The sequence below is a fragment of the Homo sapiens genome, chromosome 3 (assembly GCF_000001405.40).
Source record: "Homo sapiens chromosome 3, GRCh38.p14 Primary Assembly".
Lineage (NCBI taxonomy): Eukaryota > Metazoa > Chordata > Mammalia > Primates > Hominidae > Homo > Homo sapiens.
Genome location: NC_000003.12, coordinates 26,696,164 through 26,715,552, shown reverse-complemented (window position 1 = coordinate 26,715,552; position 19,389 = coordinate 26,696,164). Strand labels below are relative to the sequence as shown.

Genomic DNA, 19,389 nt, shown 5'->3' with positions numbered 1-19,389 from the left:
GCCAGATTTCAGATTGCCTTTTGTTTTACAAACTCTTCTTTGTAAGAAAATAAAAAGAATAAAACAAAAAAAAAAATGAGGTTTTGGTTCCAACCCCAGAGAGACCCACAATGTATTCATTTCAGGCCTAGCTTTTGAGGTCAGATCCAGAGAACTCCTGCCATTTGGATGCCTGGACATCTACAGGGAAAGAAGAAAAAATACATCGATTCTTTTTTGTAAATGGTGAGCAAAATGAAGAACATTTTCCAGCCAAAGAAGAAATACAACTTATGAAATTGATCAACTCAGTTGCCACTAGTGAGTGAGAAGTGTAAATGTTTGCACTCAACTTGGAGACAGCCTTAAAAATATATCTAGTAATTTCCCCAGAAACCTGAAACTTAGGCCATCCCTAGGCCAAATTTGGCAGGTACACTTTGTTTTCAATGTTTCCAGCATCTGTTTTCCTGATGTTTTCAGAACCCAATTCCATGTTACCCCAATGTGCATGCAGACACACACACTCACACACATGGTTCTTAAGTGATCCTCACTAGCTTCTGGTTCTTTTCCTATTGAAGAGATTATAGCCATAAAACTAGTGGCTTTCCTTTTTACTGTCATCCACCAATGAAACCATGAGACTCTATGTTCACCTTGTGGCCTCTACAGCATAATTTCCCTGAGTTGGATGAAAAAGTCTTGGACCTTGAGGAGTGCCCCTGGCTGAGGGTATGTAGCCCACTAAGTCATTTGGCACATTTGGGACCATCCATATCATGAGTGTGGGCAAATGTGGGATGAGGAATGCAGATCTTCCTTTTTTTTTTTTTTTTTTTTTTTTTGCGAATTCTGATTCACCTATTTGGACTTTGGAATGAGTTGGACAGGACATTTACAAATGTGTCGTAATTGAGATTGCCTCTGGTTTGCTTTGTCTGGGTCAGACCCAATCAACTTGACAGATGAGTGATACCACTTTGGGAAGCCAAGCTGACAAGAGCTCTGGAAATGGAGAAGGGCATCATTTATGAACAGTCATTCTCCTCCTGCCAAGCAGGGATGCACTCGATCACTTGTGGTTTATGTTGTTACTCAAGGAAACAAATGCTAATCAACTCTCCCTCTCCAGCAACTTGCACCAGGATTATTTTCTCCATCTCTCCACTGGGAAGCCAGGTCATGCTCAACATGGAGCATGTTATCTGGGGTCTATTTTAAAAGGCAAACTGATCTCCTCATCCTATCTTGAAAGAACAAGAGGGTTTTTGGAATCATAAATTTTCTTTACTATGACTGTGACAATGTGGGAGCCTTACATGCCTTTTGAATCCTCAAGGAAACTTGCTGATGGTCAGTGACATTTTCATGGTGTATATTGTTATGCTATTTTTTTTTGTTGTTGATTGGGAAACAATTTATCAAGAGAGGAAATTAGTGTACTTTAAGGGATACTGGTTGGGGAACGTGAGGACATGGATGCTAATCTGTAGGCCTGCAAGGGTTTCAATTTCAACACCTGTAAAATAAGTAGGTAAGCTCATCCCTAAGACTCTCCCAGCCCTAACAATCTAGGAATTCACCTAGCTGTAGTAACAAAAACATTTAATTAAGCAGAATTTTCCACTTCCTGCCTCTGCCAGATAGATGAGAGAACTTACTATATGAATTGAAAGTATTAAGCCAATAAGAAAAACCTACCCACATCTGAGACTGCCTTATGTTTGTTGATGTCAGGACAAGAGTTATTGTGAAGAATCAGAGAAGGACGTAAAAAAGAACAATGCGTACCTGGCAGATTTTGTATATCATTGCATTACAATTTGCCAAAGTGTTCTTGAAAGCTAAATCTTCCATTACATAACTTTTCATTACTTTGTTAAAAATGTTCCAGTTGGGTTGGCATGTTTTCCGATTTTCCTTGCTTCAAAGATAAGCACATTGTCAAAAATTAGAGTAAAATTCCTAGGTATTTCTGAATTTAAAAGGTTGGGGTTAAGAAAGAGATGCCAAAAGAGAAGGCTGAGAAAAGCGTTATTTAAAATATTTAGAAGGTAAGATAGAGGTAAGATAGTATGTGCCTTGGATAATGAGTTGACAGTTAATTTCAAAAACCTTACAGTCCCAAAATAGGTAGCTCTCCATCTGCAAGGGTTTGGAAAATTAAGGGCCAAGCTGGGATCAAAACTGAAGCATGCATGTTGGGCCTTTTTCTGTGCAGACTTGAGTCTTAGTTCTTTTCACTCATTGGCAGCATATACTGTTGGCCTTGGGGGACACAGCATTCCCACAAGCTGGCAGGAAGAGTGCTTCTTCTCAATTCTGATCACAAACGGGTGCCATAGCCTGGTATTTATTTTAAAATAAAGAAACAAACAAAAGAATTAATTTTCTCCTCCAATGGCTTATACATGATTCATGGCAACCGAACTTAAAGGCTCTTTTTAAAAAAAAAAAAAAAAAAGCGCTTAAGGTGCTGTTAACTAAAAATCTACACATAGAATTCAGGCAGGAGAATTATTAACCTATGACACACCTCTCAGCTCTATGTATATGGAGAATTTCAAAGTGAATATGTGGAAATTTAACTTTCCTGCATCTGAACAAGGATATAACTATGCTTACAAAACTTTTCAGAGATTTTTGCTTTACAAGTACTTTTACTTGAATAATACAATTGACCATTGGGAAAATAAGCTCCCATTAGTGAAGACAAAGATTATTTTGGAAGAAGCAGCCTGGAATGGATTATCTTATTTGTGAAAGCTTTTCTAAAATGAACGTGACTCATTCATACACTCAAATAAATACAATTAATTTACCTTTTTAAAGGGTTGTCTTAGCAAAGGCTTGATTTTCCTATTCTTTAGGAAAAAAATGTGTATTTCAGTTCAGTTGGGCATCTTTTCTAGAGTACCTGAAGAGATATATTATACTATTGTCCTCCAGGGGGCGATAAATCTTCAGCAAAGCTTCAGTCTCACTGGAAAGGTGAATTCTCAATTCAGTTCGTAAAAGCAGACAGTCTGGCTTCCTTCTTGCTGGGATGCAGGAATTCTTGGGCCTATATCCTGAATTTTACATCTAGGAGTTACCTCAGGCTTCTAGACTAGATCTAACACTTTTAGCAAGTTTGGTGGGGTTGGGGTGAAAAGCCCATGGCCCTGGGGTGTGTGTACCATGAGCAGAGCCTGGCCACAGTGCTCTGCATGCCTCGCCACAGGTCCTGGATTAGCTGACCCTGATTGTCCCTTGCAATAAATAAACATTTAAAGAGACTATTGCTGCCTAGGACCTCTAGGGCTTTCCGAGAGCAGAAATATTAGGCCCAAAGATACCCTAACTTGGGTTGGAGAAGGCTAAGTGTCTCAAAAGGGCAGAGGTTCCCTCTTACCTACATAAATCTCACAAAGGGCTATTTTTGTGCTATTTGAAAAATAAAACCATCATGTAGGAGGCTGCAAAACTCTAGGTCTGAGGAATCAGCAACTTTAGGTAGTAAAGTTGATGACCATAAGGCAGCACAGTGGATAAAATGTTCATAGGTTCTGGAGTTGACAGACTGGGTTTCAATGCCTGCTATGCTTACAAACTCTGTATTAATTACTTAACTCCTGTGTCTCTGATTCTCATTCACAAAAGACTGTCTCATAGGGGAGTTTGTAAGGACTCATTAAGATACTCCAAAGAAAGTACTTGGTGCATAGTAAGTGTTCCATAAATGCCATCAGTTCTATTATTCCTTAGTCTGGAACTGAGATCTCTACTATATAGTTCCAGCCTTGTTTCTCACTTCTTTGCATGGACTCCTTCATCCCAAACACCTCCCTATATGGTATCCCTCTGCTTCTTCTATCTTCCTTGTCTACATCATCACCTTATGAGATCCCACCCAAGTTTTAAAGATTATCTGTAATGGTACCTTAAAACCAATAACTTCCACACAATTCCCTACTCTTAAGAACCAAATGTGCTTTCTCCTATCTATCTCTGGCCAATGACAAGGACACAATATCTTGATTGTATGACAGATGCCAGGAGTATATATATTTTAAAACTCAGAACTGTGTACTTAACCTAGGTGCTTTTTTTAACAGAAAATTATAACTATAAACCAACTCAGTAGGAACATAATGTGAAGACCTTTCTTTGGAGACAGAAAGATCTGATTCAAATTTAAGAAGTTCTAATACTTTCTACCTGGCAACTCAATGAAGCTCTCTTACTTGAAGTTTTTTCCTATGTAAATAGAGCAGCTGTCACTTTCTTCTCTTGTTGTGAGAGTTTACAGGACACAATAATAGCATAAAAATGCCTCTCACAGTGCTTGCACCCTGTTGATGCTACATGATTACGAGGACCTTCCTCCCTAGCATAACCATTTCTGTATTTGTCACACACACCTCAGTCCACCAGAAAGTAATCTTGAGTACAGGCTATGTGCTGTCTTTTTCTTTTCCATTTTGTCCAGCATAGAGCAAAGGTACAATAAGTAAGTATTTGGATTCAATAGCTAATTATATCTATTTTTGAAGAGTAAATGCCAAAAGGCATCCTGACTTAAGCCTCTGAAGGATGCCACACTTGTGTATAACCACCTAGTAAAGCTCAGTATTTTAGAGTCTGACAGACACTTAACTCGGCCAGTAATTCAGCTACGGCTCCCCAGTGTACAGTAGGGCTTAATAACACATTTTTTCATTGTGATAGTTCTTTGAGTTCATAAAGGTTGTCTGTTTTTCTTTAGAGCAAGTAGAATGACTATACTGTTTTCTTGACCAATAAGTCACTCTGTTTTCCATGGTTCAAAGTTAAGCTTTTATTTGCTTTTAAATTAAAAAAATAAATTTCATTATTAAATAGTGAGATGGATCTAACTAATGTTCAGATAGTAGCTTACTCAGAAATATACCATCGGGGGTACAATTAAGGGGTGGATCACCTAAACTCAAATTATTTATGTTGTAGTGTTTGTTAAAAGTTCAGCAGTGGCATAATTCAAAAGAAACTGAAATACAAAGTTTCAAATGTTTACAATGGATGGGAGAAGTAAACCACTTATTTCTACTGCAATCGCAAACTACTTTCTTTCTTTCTCAATGACAGTCAGTTTGGACACTATACCACAGTGCTAATATCATCAGGTTCATCTGCTTTCTTCTGCCTGCTTGGCAGGGATTTCAAGTATTCGAGGTGTCTCCGGGCATCCTCCTGATTTTGCCTCACATAATATACCACATATGAGATCACCATAGTGAACCAGCCAAACATGGTGACCAGCATGGCATAATCGGTAGTTTTTTTAGGGAGGTTACAAAGGTCAGCGTCGTTGGCAGCATTGAGGAATGGTCTGCCAGCATGTTCATCCAACACGGACGTTTTACAGATCACGTTGTGGGCTGTCTCATGATTGGACGCCATGCTCCTCAGAACTTGCTGTAGAGTACAGTCGCAGTGCCAGGGGTTGTTGGCAATTCTGGCCCTGGCCTTCAGGTTATTGAAGGCATTTTTGTGCACACTTTGAATCCGATTGTCGGACAAGTCCAGAGTCTGCAAGGTTTCAGCTACTCCTTTGAAGGCATGCTCATCGATAAACTCAATGCCATTTTTGGACAGGTTGAGAACTCTCAGTTGATGGAGGTCCTTAAAAATTTCATTGGGAATAGATGTGATCTGATTGGAGTCCAGATACAGTAAGACTGTTTCAGGAGGAAGATCTCTAGGTATTTCCTTGAGATTTGCATTGCTACAGGTGACATTTAAACCCCCAGAGGAAGAACAAAGACAGCCCTTGGGACACATACTGGCAGAATGAAAGCACAGTATCATAAGAACAAAACTTTGTAGGAGGAGACACATGGAGAGGGAACGGGTTAACCACAGGTCTACCAGATTCATGCTGGAATGTCAGCATAATCACGAGCCCATTCCTCATCTACTCCAACAAGCGTGGTAAAGGTTCCAGCCCTGTCCACACTATTGATTTCCTTCTTGCGTGTTTCAAAAGGCTGCAGCTAACACATGTGTCTCTTCATTATTTCTTTCCTTGCTTGGGCACCTAAAGGAAAGAGAAACAGATGCAATTAGTTCCTTTGCAAAGGGAGGTACATTGTAATGAAAGGTGTTCTCAGGTGTCTGGCATTCTGCTTGAGCAGGGGGGTTAGTTATGCAGGTAATTTCCATCAATGCCACTGGGAGTTATCTGCGAAATGGGAGTCTCCTGTTCAAATCCCAGGTGCTGGGGGAGAGAACTGTGAACATATGAAGATATTTCTGAGTTCTGTTGCCTGGTTTTCAGTTGGATAGAATGAGAACAAATACTCCCTATTTCTCTGCTGCTCTCCACATCCTGGACCCCTTCGAATTCTACAGAAATAAAATTTAATTATGTCTCTCACCCTTTCTGAGATAACAGATGCATTAATGTAATTTAGTCCTGCACTTGGGCAGCAATGAGAAATAATACCAATATTTCATGGTTAATGACTATAGACAGGGATATCTGTCATGGCTTTTGAATGGATGCCCAATTTGGAATATTGTCTCTAAAGAAACATCTTACTTGAATTAAGAAAATAATAAATGCATTCCAACAAAATATTGCTAGAGGCTGACAACCAAGAACCTCCAGGATAGTTGCCTTCCTTGTGACCTCTTTAAAGTACATTATACCTGGGAGGATGCTTTTAACTGAATTTCCAGAGGATCTTCTCTCTCTTTTCTAAGGACCATATCCCCTTCCCAATAAATGCTTAAATATGGCACACACCTCCATGACTTTTTTATATAACAAGAGAATTAAGAAATACTGTCTTTGAAGACTTCCCCAATAGACTTCACTCTCCATATGTTGCATGTTGCATACATATACTGTTAGTGTTGGCAGGGGCTACAGAAATTGCAAAATTAAGTGATGAACAAAGTTATGAAACTTACTCGACAGCAGAGATAAGAATATAAGTTAACTCTCAAAATTACCCTTTAATATAGAGAAGAAAGCACACATCTTTGGGACCAGTTCACAAAGGAGACAAGTGGATCCCAGAGAGATGAGGTTACTTACCCAAGGTCAAACAGATTGAGGTGTAGAGACAGGACTCAAGCCAAAGTCTTTGTTCTGACTCATTAATATCAAAACTCTTTCCACTATCCACACACTCTCTTCCAGTCTCATCTACTCTATAAGTATCCAGCAAGTATTGCTTATTGTGATTTCTGATGCTGTTATGTTGCAGCCCTATCTTTTATGCTATGAATACTGTTCCAAGTTGAGGACCCCATGGAGCTCAAGTGAGGGGTCCCTCTGCATTTTGTAGGGAACCCATGCCTGACTTAGAAGATTCCCTCCCAGGATCTAAGAAACAAGAAGAGCATTCAGTCCTCTTACAGCAGTGGACAACAAACAACTTTCTGCATGAGCAACTAATGACTTTCTGAAAACTTGTCTTTTATGAAGATCCCAGATGGATAAATACAAAGGGAAATGACTCCAAATGTTACCAAACTCACAGAAGAGAAGATTAATGTGAGCTGAAAACATAATGATCTGGATTGTTAATCATGGAAAAAATGAGATTAGCAACAGCAGAATGGAGCAGACGTGCTTTTGGAAAACTGAGTCGAGTCCCTTAAATACCAGAGAATGCTAAAGAGAGACCCTAAGCTTACTAAGCCCTCCATCAACAGATCATTTCATTGGCAATGAAAGTGTCCTCCTTTTCATGTTTCCCTTCAAAACTGTATTGCATGGTACTTGGGGACTCTAGGAATCTAGATGGGAAAGAAAAAAAAAAACAGGTGTGGAAGGGAAGAGAGGAGACAGAGGAGTAGAAGGACAAGGCAACGAATTCTAGGAAAAGGGCATGAGAAAAACACAGGAGATGGAAGAAATTAATTAATGTAATTGAAGAAAATAAAGGGAGTCCACATCAGCCAAGTGATTTCCATCCATTGAGTATATGCAACCAGCCTAAAACATGCTGAAAGATGAGAAGCCTTTTCTGGAGGACACTTCATATTTCTCTTGGGATTCATTAAAGGAGTTTGGCATAGAAAAGAAGTGTTCTCTATTCAGAGTACAAGCTCCATGACAGCAGAGGCTTGTTTCTGCCTCTTGCAGAGACAATAGTAAGCAATTAAAAAAATAAAAAGTACACTGAGTTTGTATATCAGCTTTATTTATTTATTATTTTATTTTTATTTTTTGAGATGGAATCTTGCTCTGTTGCCCAGGCTGGAGAGCAGTGGTGTGATCTCGGCTCACTGCAAATCTCCGCCTGCCAGGTTCCAGCAATTCTCCCACCCCAGCCTCCCGAGTATCTGGAACTATAGGCACACACCACCACGCCCAGCTATTTTTTTTTTTTTTTTTCTGTATTTTTAGTAGAGACAGGGTTTCACCATGTTGGCCAGGCTGGTCTTGAACTCCTGACCTTAAGTGATCTACCTGCCTCGCCTCCCAAAGTGCTAGGATTACAGGTATGAGCCACTGCGCTTAGCACAGTACGAAATTGGTAGTAAAAGTTCGATGCTTTTTAGCCATAGTTTTAGTTACTATTATTATTCTCGGATACATTCCCAACACCCAGCATAGTGCTTCGCATATAGTGAGGACTAAATAAATATGTTATATGAATAAAGCAACAAAATATTGAAGAGTCTAGGTACGCTTTTCCTTCTCCATGGCAATTATTTTTATAAATATTTTAAACATAAACATTGGCTCATCAAATGTCTACTGGTCTTATATGGCAACATAGTGGACTTTGGAAAAGTCATATATGTTCAGGCTCCTAGGAGATGGAAAGAAGAATGGAACTCTTCCTCAGCAGGCTTCTTTATACTTAATCAGGGTTTCTCCATAATCAGGGTTTCTCCAGAATGATCAGTCCAATGGTCATGGTCACATATAAGAAATGTTTAGGACACAGGTTGAGTTCTCTACTCAGATTGCAGTCTTTCTTGAGATGGAATCCGTCATATCCCAAATGGTCTACCTGTGAACTGGATGTAATGCTTGTGAACTGGATGTAATGCTTGTTAGGAGTACAAATACAGAGCACGCCTTGCTTTCAGAGGAGTTGGACTTGAACTGTTTCATTTTCTATTATGTTTGATAAAAAGAGAATAAAATTTTCTGGGATTTGGCTATATTGCTGAGCTACTGTGACTCAGCCTCTAGAGCCATCACCCCCAGCCAGAATAAAGTGACAAAAGATGCAGGATGTAGAGAGCTGAGCCCTGGGATGCTGCTGTGGTTTGAATATGTGGGTCCTTCACATATTCTGATATCTATATCTAAATCTAATCCCCAGTGTGAGGATATTTGGAGGTGGGGCCTTTGAGAAGTGATTAGGTCATGAAAGCAGAGCCATCATGAATGGAGTTCGTGCCCTTATAAAAGAGGCCCCAGAGAATTCTCTCATCCCTTCTGCCATGTGAAGAAACAGAGAGAAGAGAGCCATCAATAAGCCAAGAAACAGGATCTCACCAGAAACCAAATCTTCTGGCACCTTGATGTTGAGCTTTGCAGGCTCCAGAACTGTAAGAAATAAATTTCTATTGCTTTAGCAGTGCAAAAAGACTTAGATGTCCAGGATGTAGACAGCAAAGCCAAAGGTATCAAGTCAAGGTCATCTTCACCAGGGAGGATGGAAGAGCTGCTCTCCACTCTATGATACTGGTTCTATAGTTTCCAAAGGGATTATCAGTTTGACATTGCTTTATATTACTAGCTAGGTCAACAGTGGCTGTTGGAAAAGGAAGGTATGAGGACATGTGCCTCAGAGAAAAAGAGGTGGATATTCTTCTGACATTGGTTATCATCCAGCAGAATACAGGGCTAAAAAGCTTGGAAGCCTAAAACTCCCTTAGCTTGAAAGCCTAAAACTCCCTCCTGCTTTGATTGAATCACAACTACACACAAACCCAAAGCAGTAAACAAGCTATGCTGCTGGGCAAGAAGAGTGCCTTCCTACTAACTTCAGAATGAGTGGTTAGAACATAAAGAAGGGCCTGGGGTCACACTGGTAATGGCAAAAACAGCAACAGCAATACTGCCTGTCTTTCTGATAGGGAATAAGACCCATTAAAGGGACGGACCAAGTTAAACAGCATCTTTCCTCCCTCCTAACTCCCCCTCTGCAAATCTCGACTCACTGGACTACCCTGTCCCCATCTACTCATTCCCTTTAACTACGTCTGGGTCAAGCAGAAGCCGTAATATTTCTAGATGTGGTGTTTAAGTATGCACTGCACCCCAAAGGAGAATTACTTTATCCAGACTCATATTTCGCTCATATTTTCTTGCCATCCAGGTTACTGCGCATCAGCAGTTAATTCTGGGATTGGGTGGCAACCATCAAATACCATTTCCAGAAGAAAAAAACCAGTGCATTTAACAGGGTGTTCATTCACTGAGAAGACAGGCCATTCAGTGGCTGATTAACAACTGTCTTTCTGCTTATTTCTTTCTTTTCATCATTAAATGATAGGAACATTCAGAGATTCTAACCCAAAAGCTTTTATTAACCCTTCTGAGATAAGTGAGCGTACCAACTCACAGAGAAATACCAGATACACCAGTTTCTTCCAATTATAGTCTATGCAACTCTATTACTAAACAGCAGAATTTGATTAAAAAGGAAATAGATAGCAAAACAGGAAGGGCTTTTAATTTAAAAGATAAAATTCAAATCAACGGGGAAAAACCCTCATACATCTAATTATTTAAAATTTAAAACTTCTCTATGGCAAAAAGTTAAGGTCATAAGCAAAGTCAAAGAACAAATGACAAAACAAAAGGTTGATTATTTTAATACACAGAAAATCCTTACAAAAGAATGATAAACTAATTTAAAAAATGGAGAGCTGGGTGCAACAGTACACACCTATAGTCCCTGCTACTTATGAGATAGATTGAGGTGCAAGGATTATTTGAGCCCAGAAGTTTGAGTTCAGACAGGGCAACATAGCAAGACCCTGTCTCTAAAAAATAAAAATAAAAAGAAGAAAAAAAGCAGAAAAGAAAAATGGATGGGAAAATAATATACATAAATAGCAATGTATATGATGTATACAAAATAAACAATATAAAAAGATTCTTGATCTCACTGTCAGTAAAATAAATTCAGGTTAAAGTACTTATCATCTAGATTAAAATTAGGCATAGTATTTAGTGTCAATAAACATGTTAAGAACAAAGCATTCTCAAACACTTGATAAGAGGATTGATGGTGCACTCTTGTCATACGAGCAATTTGGGAATATCTATCAAAAATTTAAAATTGAAGAATAAGCTGTTGATGATATAAAGATGTCCAAAGATTACCCTAAAGAGCAGCTCAAAAAAAAGCAAATACTTATAATATAATCACATTTGTGTAGATTTTTTTAAAGAAGATAAATATGCAAATATAAATATGCAATTAATATGTTTACATATGCATAGATCACTTCCAAAAGGGTATATCAGAAACTATTAGTAATGGTTAACTCCAAGTGAGTAGTGGAACTGAGGGGCTGTCAGGGGGAGAAGAGGAATTGCCTTTTTATTTTATATTCTTTTGTACAGTTTTAATTCCTGATGGTATAAATGTATATTTTATTTTATTTTACAATAAATATTTAAAAGATAATGCAAAAGGACTAAGATTAGCCAAAAAATGAACCTAAATTTAATGCCTCAGAAAGCAACTATTCAGTGCATGAAAGAGTTGAACAATGGTGGCCAAGATGGCAAAGGCAAATGAAAGAACAATGAATTATTAAAAGCAGTACATGTTTCATGATGAGAGACTGAATATACAAACGGACAGTGGCCACACCATATACAAAAATAGATCTCTGACGCACAATCTGCAGCAACTAGATCAGGAAACCAAACCACAATCTCTGTAGCAAACAGCCCAAATCAGCCAAGAACTGATTATTAACTGATAATTTTTCTAATTTTTGACCTTGCTTCCAACTTAGGACCAACCAAAGAACACGAAATGTACACCCCTAACCAATCATGTAGGCTGCCCTTCTTGTAGTTAGCCCACCTATAGCTTCCCCATGTCAACAGCCTTCAACCAGAACTCTCCTGAAGTCTTCCTTTTTTCCCACTATAATGCTTTTACACTCCTCTGCCAGCCTTTGAGTCTCTCTGTCAAAAGCAAGGGATGGTGGTTGCCTCTTTTGCTGTAGGAAGCTCTGAATGAATAGCATTTGCTTATTCTCATTTGGGTGGTTTTTGTTTATTTTCACAAAACCTGAAGTTTGAGTACTTGATATCTTTAATGCAATATTCCCAAAATTAGTCTTATTGACTATCATAGAGCTTAGATATTATTTATTTATATGATCAGGTTATCCATAAAATAAGTGTGGGTTGCATAAACCATCAATATGTCTAATTCCTGTGTATTTGTGACTAAAATAACTAGGAAAAGAGAGTTGGGACAGGGCTAATTCAAGTGAATAAATTGCATAAGTAATTTTTCCACTGCTGGTCTTTGGGATCATGTTTGGAGATAATAACTTCTTCATTCACATCTTTAGGACTGAGTTCTGCCATGGACTTTAGTTCTCCATTTCCATTCTCAACCATCTACTACAGGAAGAGTTCATCAGGGCCTCAACTTTGCATACCCAAAAGTAAAATCATAATTTTACCCTCAGCTTTACCCAATGACTCCCGCCTCCACTGTAGACCACCCTGTCTTCCCTCCCGATTTCTTGAAGTTTTTTTCTGTTCTCCATTCTACGTGTCCCTTGCTTTGCATTCTCATGGCCTCTTTCCTAATTCAGATCTCCAACATCCTGTTCTGAAAGAGCAAAAGCCTCCTTCCTGAATTGTTGGTGTCCAGTCTCTGTGCTTCCATCCTTCTAATGTCAAGTTAAAGTAACACTCTTAACCACATCATCCTGCAGGTCAAAAAAGCACTAATGACTCCCGATGGTTCATAACAATCTCCTTTTACAGTTGTATCTCCCACCATGTTTTCTTACACAGACATAGAAACATGAATTCAACAAACAGCTCAATGAGGAGAAAACTGATGATGAATGGCACTTCGTTCCACAAATATGAGATTTATCAGAAACCAATCCAGCTGAAGATCTCTACACTGTAGAATAGCTTTCCTGATTTAAAATCCAATTATAAAGTTCTGGCCCATGAGCCATTTAGGTGGCTCATTAATAACAACAGCTGTGATCCTTTAGTCAAGGATATGAACTGACAAGGCAGACAGATGCATGAGGAACAGAGAATATTTTCATTTAAAAAGAGAATAATCTGGTAGCAGATCCAGAACTGTTTAAGGCAAGGAACTCTTGCAATCTCCAAACTCTCCTTTCTCTAATATTCCAGCCTTTACTATATTATTTACTGTTTTCTACTTCATATTAAATACATCACTTTACCTTCTCTACTGCTAGACCATGAGGTTCCAACAGGCAGGGTCACTGTTTTACCCATTTTACATTCTCACATTGCCCATGGTAAGAATTTAATAAACATTTATTTATTGAAATGAATTATAATCCATTCTCATTTCATTATAACACAGCTATCATTTGCTTGGCATTTATTACACATCAGGTATTTGTTAAGTGATGAATTCATCTAGCAGGATGGTAAAACTGAAATTCTGACAAGGTTCTTGGTTAAATGAATGTAGAGTTAAAAAGTTAGTTACCATATAACTTTTTTTGGAATTAAGGGGTTAAGTTACCATATAAAGCTTGGCTGACACATGTTCTGTGAGTCAATGTGTCCTTGCCCACTTTGAAAGTAAAACAGTCAAGAGGTACCTATCATGTCACCTTCCCAAGGAAAGGAGAAAGTTTAGTACATGACCCCTGGAGTTGGGAGGCAGAGTGTCTTGGAAAGAGAACCGGGTTAACCTGTTGTCTGGAGATGGAGTTGGGTGATGTTTCGATGTTGGGGTGAGCCTACACTCCCAGAGTTTGTCAATAAGGGATGGGAAACTATTTCCTATAGGTCAAATGCGGTCACTAGAGGGGAAGAGATTTTCAAGGAGCGAGCATCTTGAGTCTTATTTCACTGTCCCACAGAATTCCTTCATAGAACAGAGGGACTCCAGCAACACAAAACTGTAGGGTAGATGCTTAGATTTCGAGCAAGTGGCCATCTGAAACGAATCCACTATCAGAGTCAGGGGAGCCACATGGGGGGAGGGTATGAAAGTCTCAGGAGAGAGAGACCTGAATCCTCTCATCCTATTAATTCTACCTCCTGAGCAGCTGCCACCCAGTTATGCTCACCTGGGGGTGGAGTGGAATGGAAGGCAGAGAAGAGAAATCAAGCCACTTACTAAATCCTCTTTCCCTTTGAGCCTGAAACAAAGGGAAGGGGAGAACAGTTAAATATTAAATGAAATTCAGGGTTTTTGTTAATCTCTTAAACTATACATTTAAATGATCATGATTAATTTTTATTTTGGTTTAAATTAACTGAGTTTGTGACTTAAAATAATATTAGGACAATCTATTATCTAGGAGTAAGTACAACATTGTGGGGCTTACTAATGTTTGCATTCAGGGACTAGAAGAGAATGATCAAGAGGATAGAAATTAAAGGAACAGTAGAGGCAAGAAGGAAAGTTTCATTTTATACTGGTTACACATGTATCACCTCACCACAATTCTCACAAAGCCCCTAAAAGGTAGTAATTGCAACCCTTGTACGGATGAACAAATTGAGGCTTAAAGAGGTTATATAACCCATTTATGGTAACTACAGCTAAATGACAGAGGCAAGAACTTAACTGAAGTCCTTTGGTTTCCAGAGCATGTGTGATCAAACATGGCACCATACACCATTTTACAGCTAAACTCTAATTTTTTTCCTTCCTAACTGGTCCCACTAAGATAGGAAACAAGGACCAAGATGGATTTTTAAATTAAGGGAAGTATACTTCCAAGTCAAAAGCTCTAAAATTATCCATTTGCCTTACATTCGTGAACTACTTTAGAAGCTTGTGGGGCAAGTTCACATGCATGCTTTCATTTGATTATCTCTAAACAGCACTGTCAATTACACATAGTGGACATTATTAGTCTCTATGTTAATACAGTAGAGGAACTCATAAAATGGAGACTCCTCAAAGCCATACAGCTGGTTAGCAGCAGGAAAGGACCTGCATCTCAGATATCCCCCAGAACAGGTCTCATTTAACATGCATTGGTTTCTATATCTCTTTTCCTGGCCACTTTTTATATGAATGTCTGTAAACACAAATGCTGAGTTTCAAATGCCTCACCAGCCCTCTGTTGACCTCTTCCTGCCAAATTTGGGAAAATCAAAGAGGGAGACAACCCCTTTTCCTGTTAGAATTTCTTAAAGGCCACTCTGATATAAAACTTTTATCAAAATCACATGAAATCCATTTGTTCTAGATCTCAGTCAGTTAAGGCACTACTTTTCCACTTTTGAAATCTATTTCACAAGATAAATCCTCAAGCAAACCCTCAATATATTGGGAAAGAACTGACTCTTCTGAATACATTAACTCCTTCCTACAAGATCTAGTGCTTATGGATCTTCAGAGTGGGTTTAGAAGTTCTTCCTACCAATGAATCCACTGGAAAAACAAACAAATACATTTTTGAAACCCACTTTTTATGAACCCAGCATTTATCCCTCTGTGGATACTGAGCACAGCATAAAGATACCACGATGTCTCTGCTACATCCATATTTATTATGCAACATGTTGCAAGTTTATAGGGAGACTGAGTGGGAATCTATCCATCTTGGTTTCTTTCTGCTTCTCTACTATTATTTCACAGCAAATGCTTATGACATTTACAACGTGAGAGCTTTGCAAACTTTTAACATCTAATCTACATAAATGTAGGCTCTCAAGATTCACCAGAGTCCAGGATAACTTGAAAGCTTCCTTTAGAAAGCCCTTACTTATGGTGAATTCAGTTGTACTTCTGAGTAGGATGAGTGTCACAATTTTTTTAAAAACATATCCTGCTTAACCCTGCTTTATCCTTCTTACACAAGATGCTGTAATAATATTCACTGGGTTGGTGGGAAAAACACAGGATTGAGATCCAAAATGAAGACTCAGAAACTGGATTCAAAACTCAGCTTCCCAAGTAATGAATTTCAGGAATTTAGCACAACACACATACTTCCATCCCTTAGTTGCCCTAGGACTATGATCAATAATATCCACCTCATTGGTCTCACAGTTACAAGGAGACAATAAAATATGTGTGAAATGTGCTTCAAAAACTGTCAATGACCATTCAAAGATGATTAGGTTTAAAATTTAATTATTTTCCTAAAATATAAGATCATTCTGTCTTGAGGGTTTCACATTTCTTAAGTATAACTAATTAGGAAATGATTCTCACATCACATACAGTATTCATGCCAATACATATTTAACCCGAATCTAATCAAGAGGAAAGCATCAGACCAATTCACAACTTGAGGTATTTTACTAATCTGGAGTTTTTGAAATTTCACTGAAGAAAAACAAAAAACAAAAATAAAAAATAAACAAAACAAAATAACAATAAAACACAGGCTTTAGAACTGTTCTAGATAAAGAAAAGAGATGTCACAACTGAAAACAACGCAAGAGATCAACTTCTGGATTTAAAGAAAATGCTAGAAAGGGACATTATTGGAACAACTGGGGGAAATTTGAATGTATACTGTATGTAAGGTATTATTGCATCAAATTTACGTTTCTTAAAATTTATGCTGATATGAGTAGAATGGAGGTAGTTGTTCTTAAGAGGAACATACTGAAGTATTTTGGGGTAAAGTGTCTTGACAACCGCAGCTGTCAAATTATTCAGCAAAAACGAAATATATCTGCCTATATATTGTGAGAAACAGTGATGGGAAAAATTTAACAATTTTAAAGGGATGGTGATGGATATATGTGTTCATTGTACCAATTTTTCAACTTGTCTGAAAGTTTCAAATTTTTCAAGTAAAAATTTGGGGTAGGGGAGATTCTACATCTTAACAAAAATCTTCGAGGGGAAGATAAGTCCTTTTTTGGTGATGCAAAAAAGTCTTAGGAATCCTAGATAGAGTAAGGCTTATCCCCTCAGAGTGATACAAAATGGAAACCCAAGGTGAAATGAGCAGTGATTCTCTGCAATTGCATCTCATGAACTCCAGGACTCCATTTCACTGCCCTATGAGACATGTGCAAGGTGCACTTGGTTTTAATTGGCCAATATGGAGATCACAGCTTGGCCACTAACTCATTGCATAATTTCTCTATCCTAGTTTTCTCATCTGAACATGAGGGTAATAAAAGTTCCACCTCACAAGGGTGAGATGAGGATTAAATGAGATAACACATGTAACACATTTAGAATATCTGCTTTTACAAGATAAACTCTCAGTCAGAGTTACTGCTACTACCACTCCTAGTACTACTGCCACCACCACCACCACCACCACTATCATCATCATCTTACACTGATGTCTGCTATGACAATGTGGAGCCTTCACCATCTTACACCTTGTCTTCTCTCTGCTATGACAATGTTTCTAAAGAGTCAATGATTTCATTTTATCAACTTTTTCATGTTATTCCAAGAGGGATCCACGTTCAGAGACATAGGTAAATCAGAATCATAGAATGGTAAAGAAAATGAACCATATAATGAGGGAAGAGTATGAAGAGCATAATTCTGATGGTGGCTAACATTTTGTGGGCACCTTCTATGTACAAGGCACAGGGCCAAAAGCTGTACTTTAAAAATAGAAAGAAATTTTGCTCCCAAGATGCTTATACCTAGAGTCTTTGCACATCTGATTTAAATGCTAAAATGTGAGGGTTTTGGGGTGATATTTAGATGAGATTTTGTACTCTGAGTTGATGCTGTAATGAATTGAGAATTTTGGGGGATGTTTGAATATGATTAATATATTTTGCATGGAGGATGGATGTAAATCTTTCGGAATCAGAGGATAGATTATGATAAGCCAAAAATGGTCTAAAAATATTTAGGTCCTGATCTCTGGAACCTGTGAATGTTACCTTGTATGGAAAAAGAATCTTTGCAGATGAGATTAAATTAAGGATCTTGAGATGGAAAGATTATCTTGGATTATCTGGATGAGCCCTAAATGTAATTTTGAGTGCTCTTATAAGAAGGATACAGAGGGAGATCTAACACAGAAGAAAAGGCAATGTAACAACTAAGGTAAGGATTGAAGTGATATAGCCACAAGTCAAGAAGTGCTGACAAGCTACCAGAAGCTAAAAGTTGCAAGCAATGGATTGTCCTTTATAGTCTTTGGAGTTAGTGTGGCCATACCCCCAAAATTGATTTTTTGTCCATTGAAACTGATTTCAGACTCTACCTCCAGAACTATAAGAAAATAGATGTGTGTTATTTTTAGCCACCAAGATTGTGGCAATTTGCTACAGAAGCTATAGGAAACTAATAGAGTAGTAAATGGAGAATAGAACTTGAAGTCAATTCTATCTGACTCCCCATTATGTGAGTTAAGAGTTTTTGCTGCAACTAAGTACCTGGCTTAACTCTGAGTTTCCTGGCAGCTAAAGACAGAAAACAAAAACATCAGATTACAAAATGGTTATTATCTAAAACAGTCAAAACAATTAGTTATTAGCAGAGATAAAATTTTTTCAAATTTTATCATTTTCAAAAAATCCTAGGAAAGAGCTGCCAAACAACATAATGGACAATGTCTTTAAGATTTCACTGATGATGCAGATACATTCTTCTTTGGTCTTTTGCATACAGTGAAATCATTGAGGTGTACAAGACTTTCTAAGCCATAGAAAGTTAAATTATGATCTAGGGATGATGTTTACTAGAGGTCAGGATAAAACCAGGATGAGATAGAAATGTGGTGGAACAGGATAGTTAGTATGTCCCTCACAGTGAGGGGCCCACAGAATTTATTGTACAAACAAAGACAAGTCTAACAGTGAAAAGCAAAGCTAGTGACAACTGTGCTGGGACAACAGGTTCAAGAAGGAACAGTCCTACGCAAAATGGAACATGTAGTAACCTCACTTACAAACAGCATTCTGAAGAGTTAGGGGAGAGTCTGATCAAATTTACAGAATGCCATTTTAAAAGAAAATGTCAAGCCCTGAGACTACAACAAACCTCCATGCACAGATCATAGTCTTCCTAGACATCCACAGAGATTAGCCCCTGTAGGCTATTAATTTAAAATTTTACAAATAGCGCTAAAAAACATTTGAACTTTAAAAAATAAAAAAATGCATAATTCATACATGTAACACATCAAATATTTTGTTCTTCCAGGCCTTATATGTGTACACACGCATCATTTTACAATTGCCATGTTAGCATAGGTAACAATTTTGTGTTTCTTTTTCAGGGTTGTAAATTGTCATGACTTTCATCATTT

General features: G+C 38.1%; 1 protein-coding gene across 10 annotated transcripts in view; it reads right to left on the bottom strand.

Annotated features, from left to right (window-relative positions):
* Nucleotides 1-4,776: 4,776 nt before the first annotated feature.
* The window catches only part of LRRC3B (leucine rich repeat containing 3B), an 88,005-nt gene continuing 73,392 nt past the window's right edge, over nucleotides 4,777-19,389 (bottom strand). For 7 of the 10 annotated variants that reach the window (NM_052953.4, NM_001395646.1, NM_001317808.2 and 4 more), the window contains one exon: nucleotides 4,777-6,040. In NM_052953.4, the coding sequence (NP_443185.1) occupies nucleotides 5,101-5,880 (780 nt within the window). In that variant the 5' untranslated portion in view covers nucleotides 5,881-6,040 and the 3' untranslated portion in view covers nucleotides 4,777-5,100. Of the gene's footprint in view, nucleotides 6,041-14,256; nucleotides 16,251-19,389 lie in introns of those variants that run through there. The other 3 variants (NM_001317811.2, XM_011533332.4, XM_047447402.1) reach the window with 2 other exon arrangements.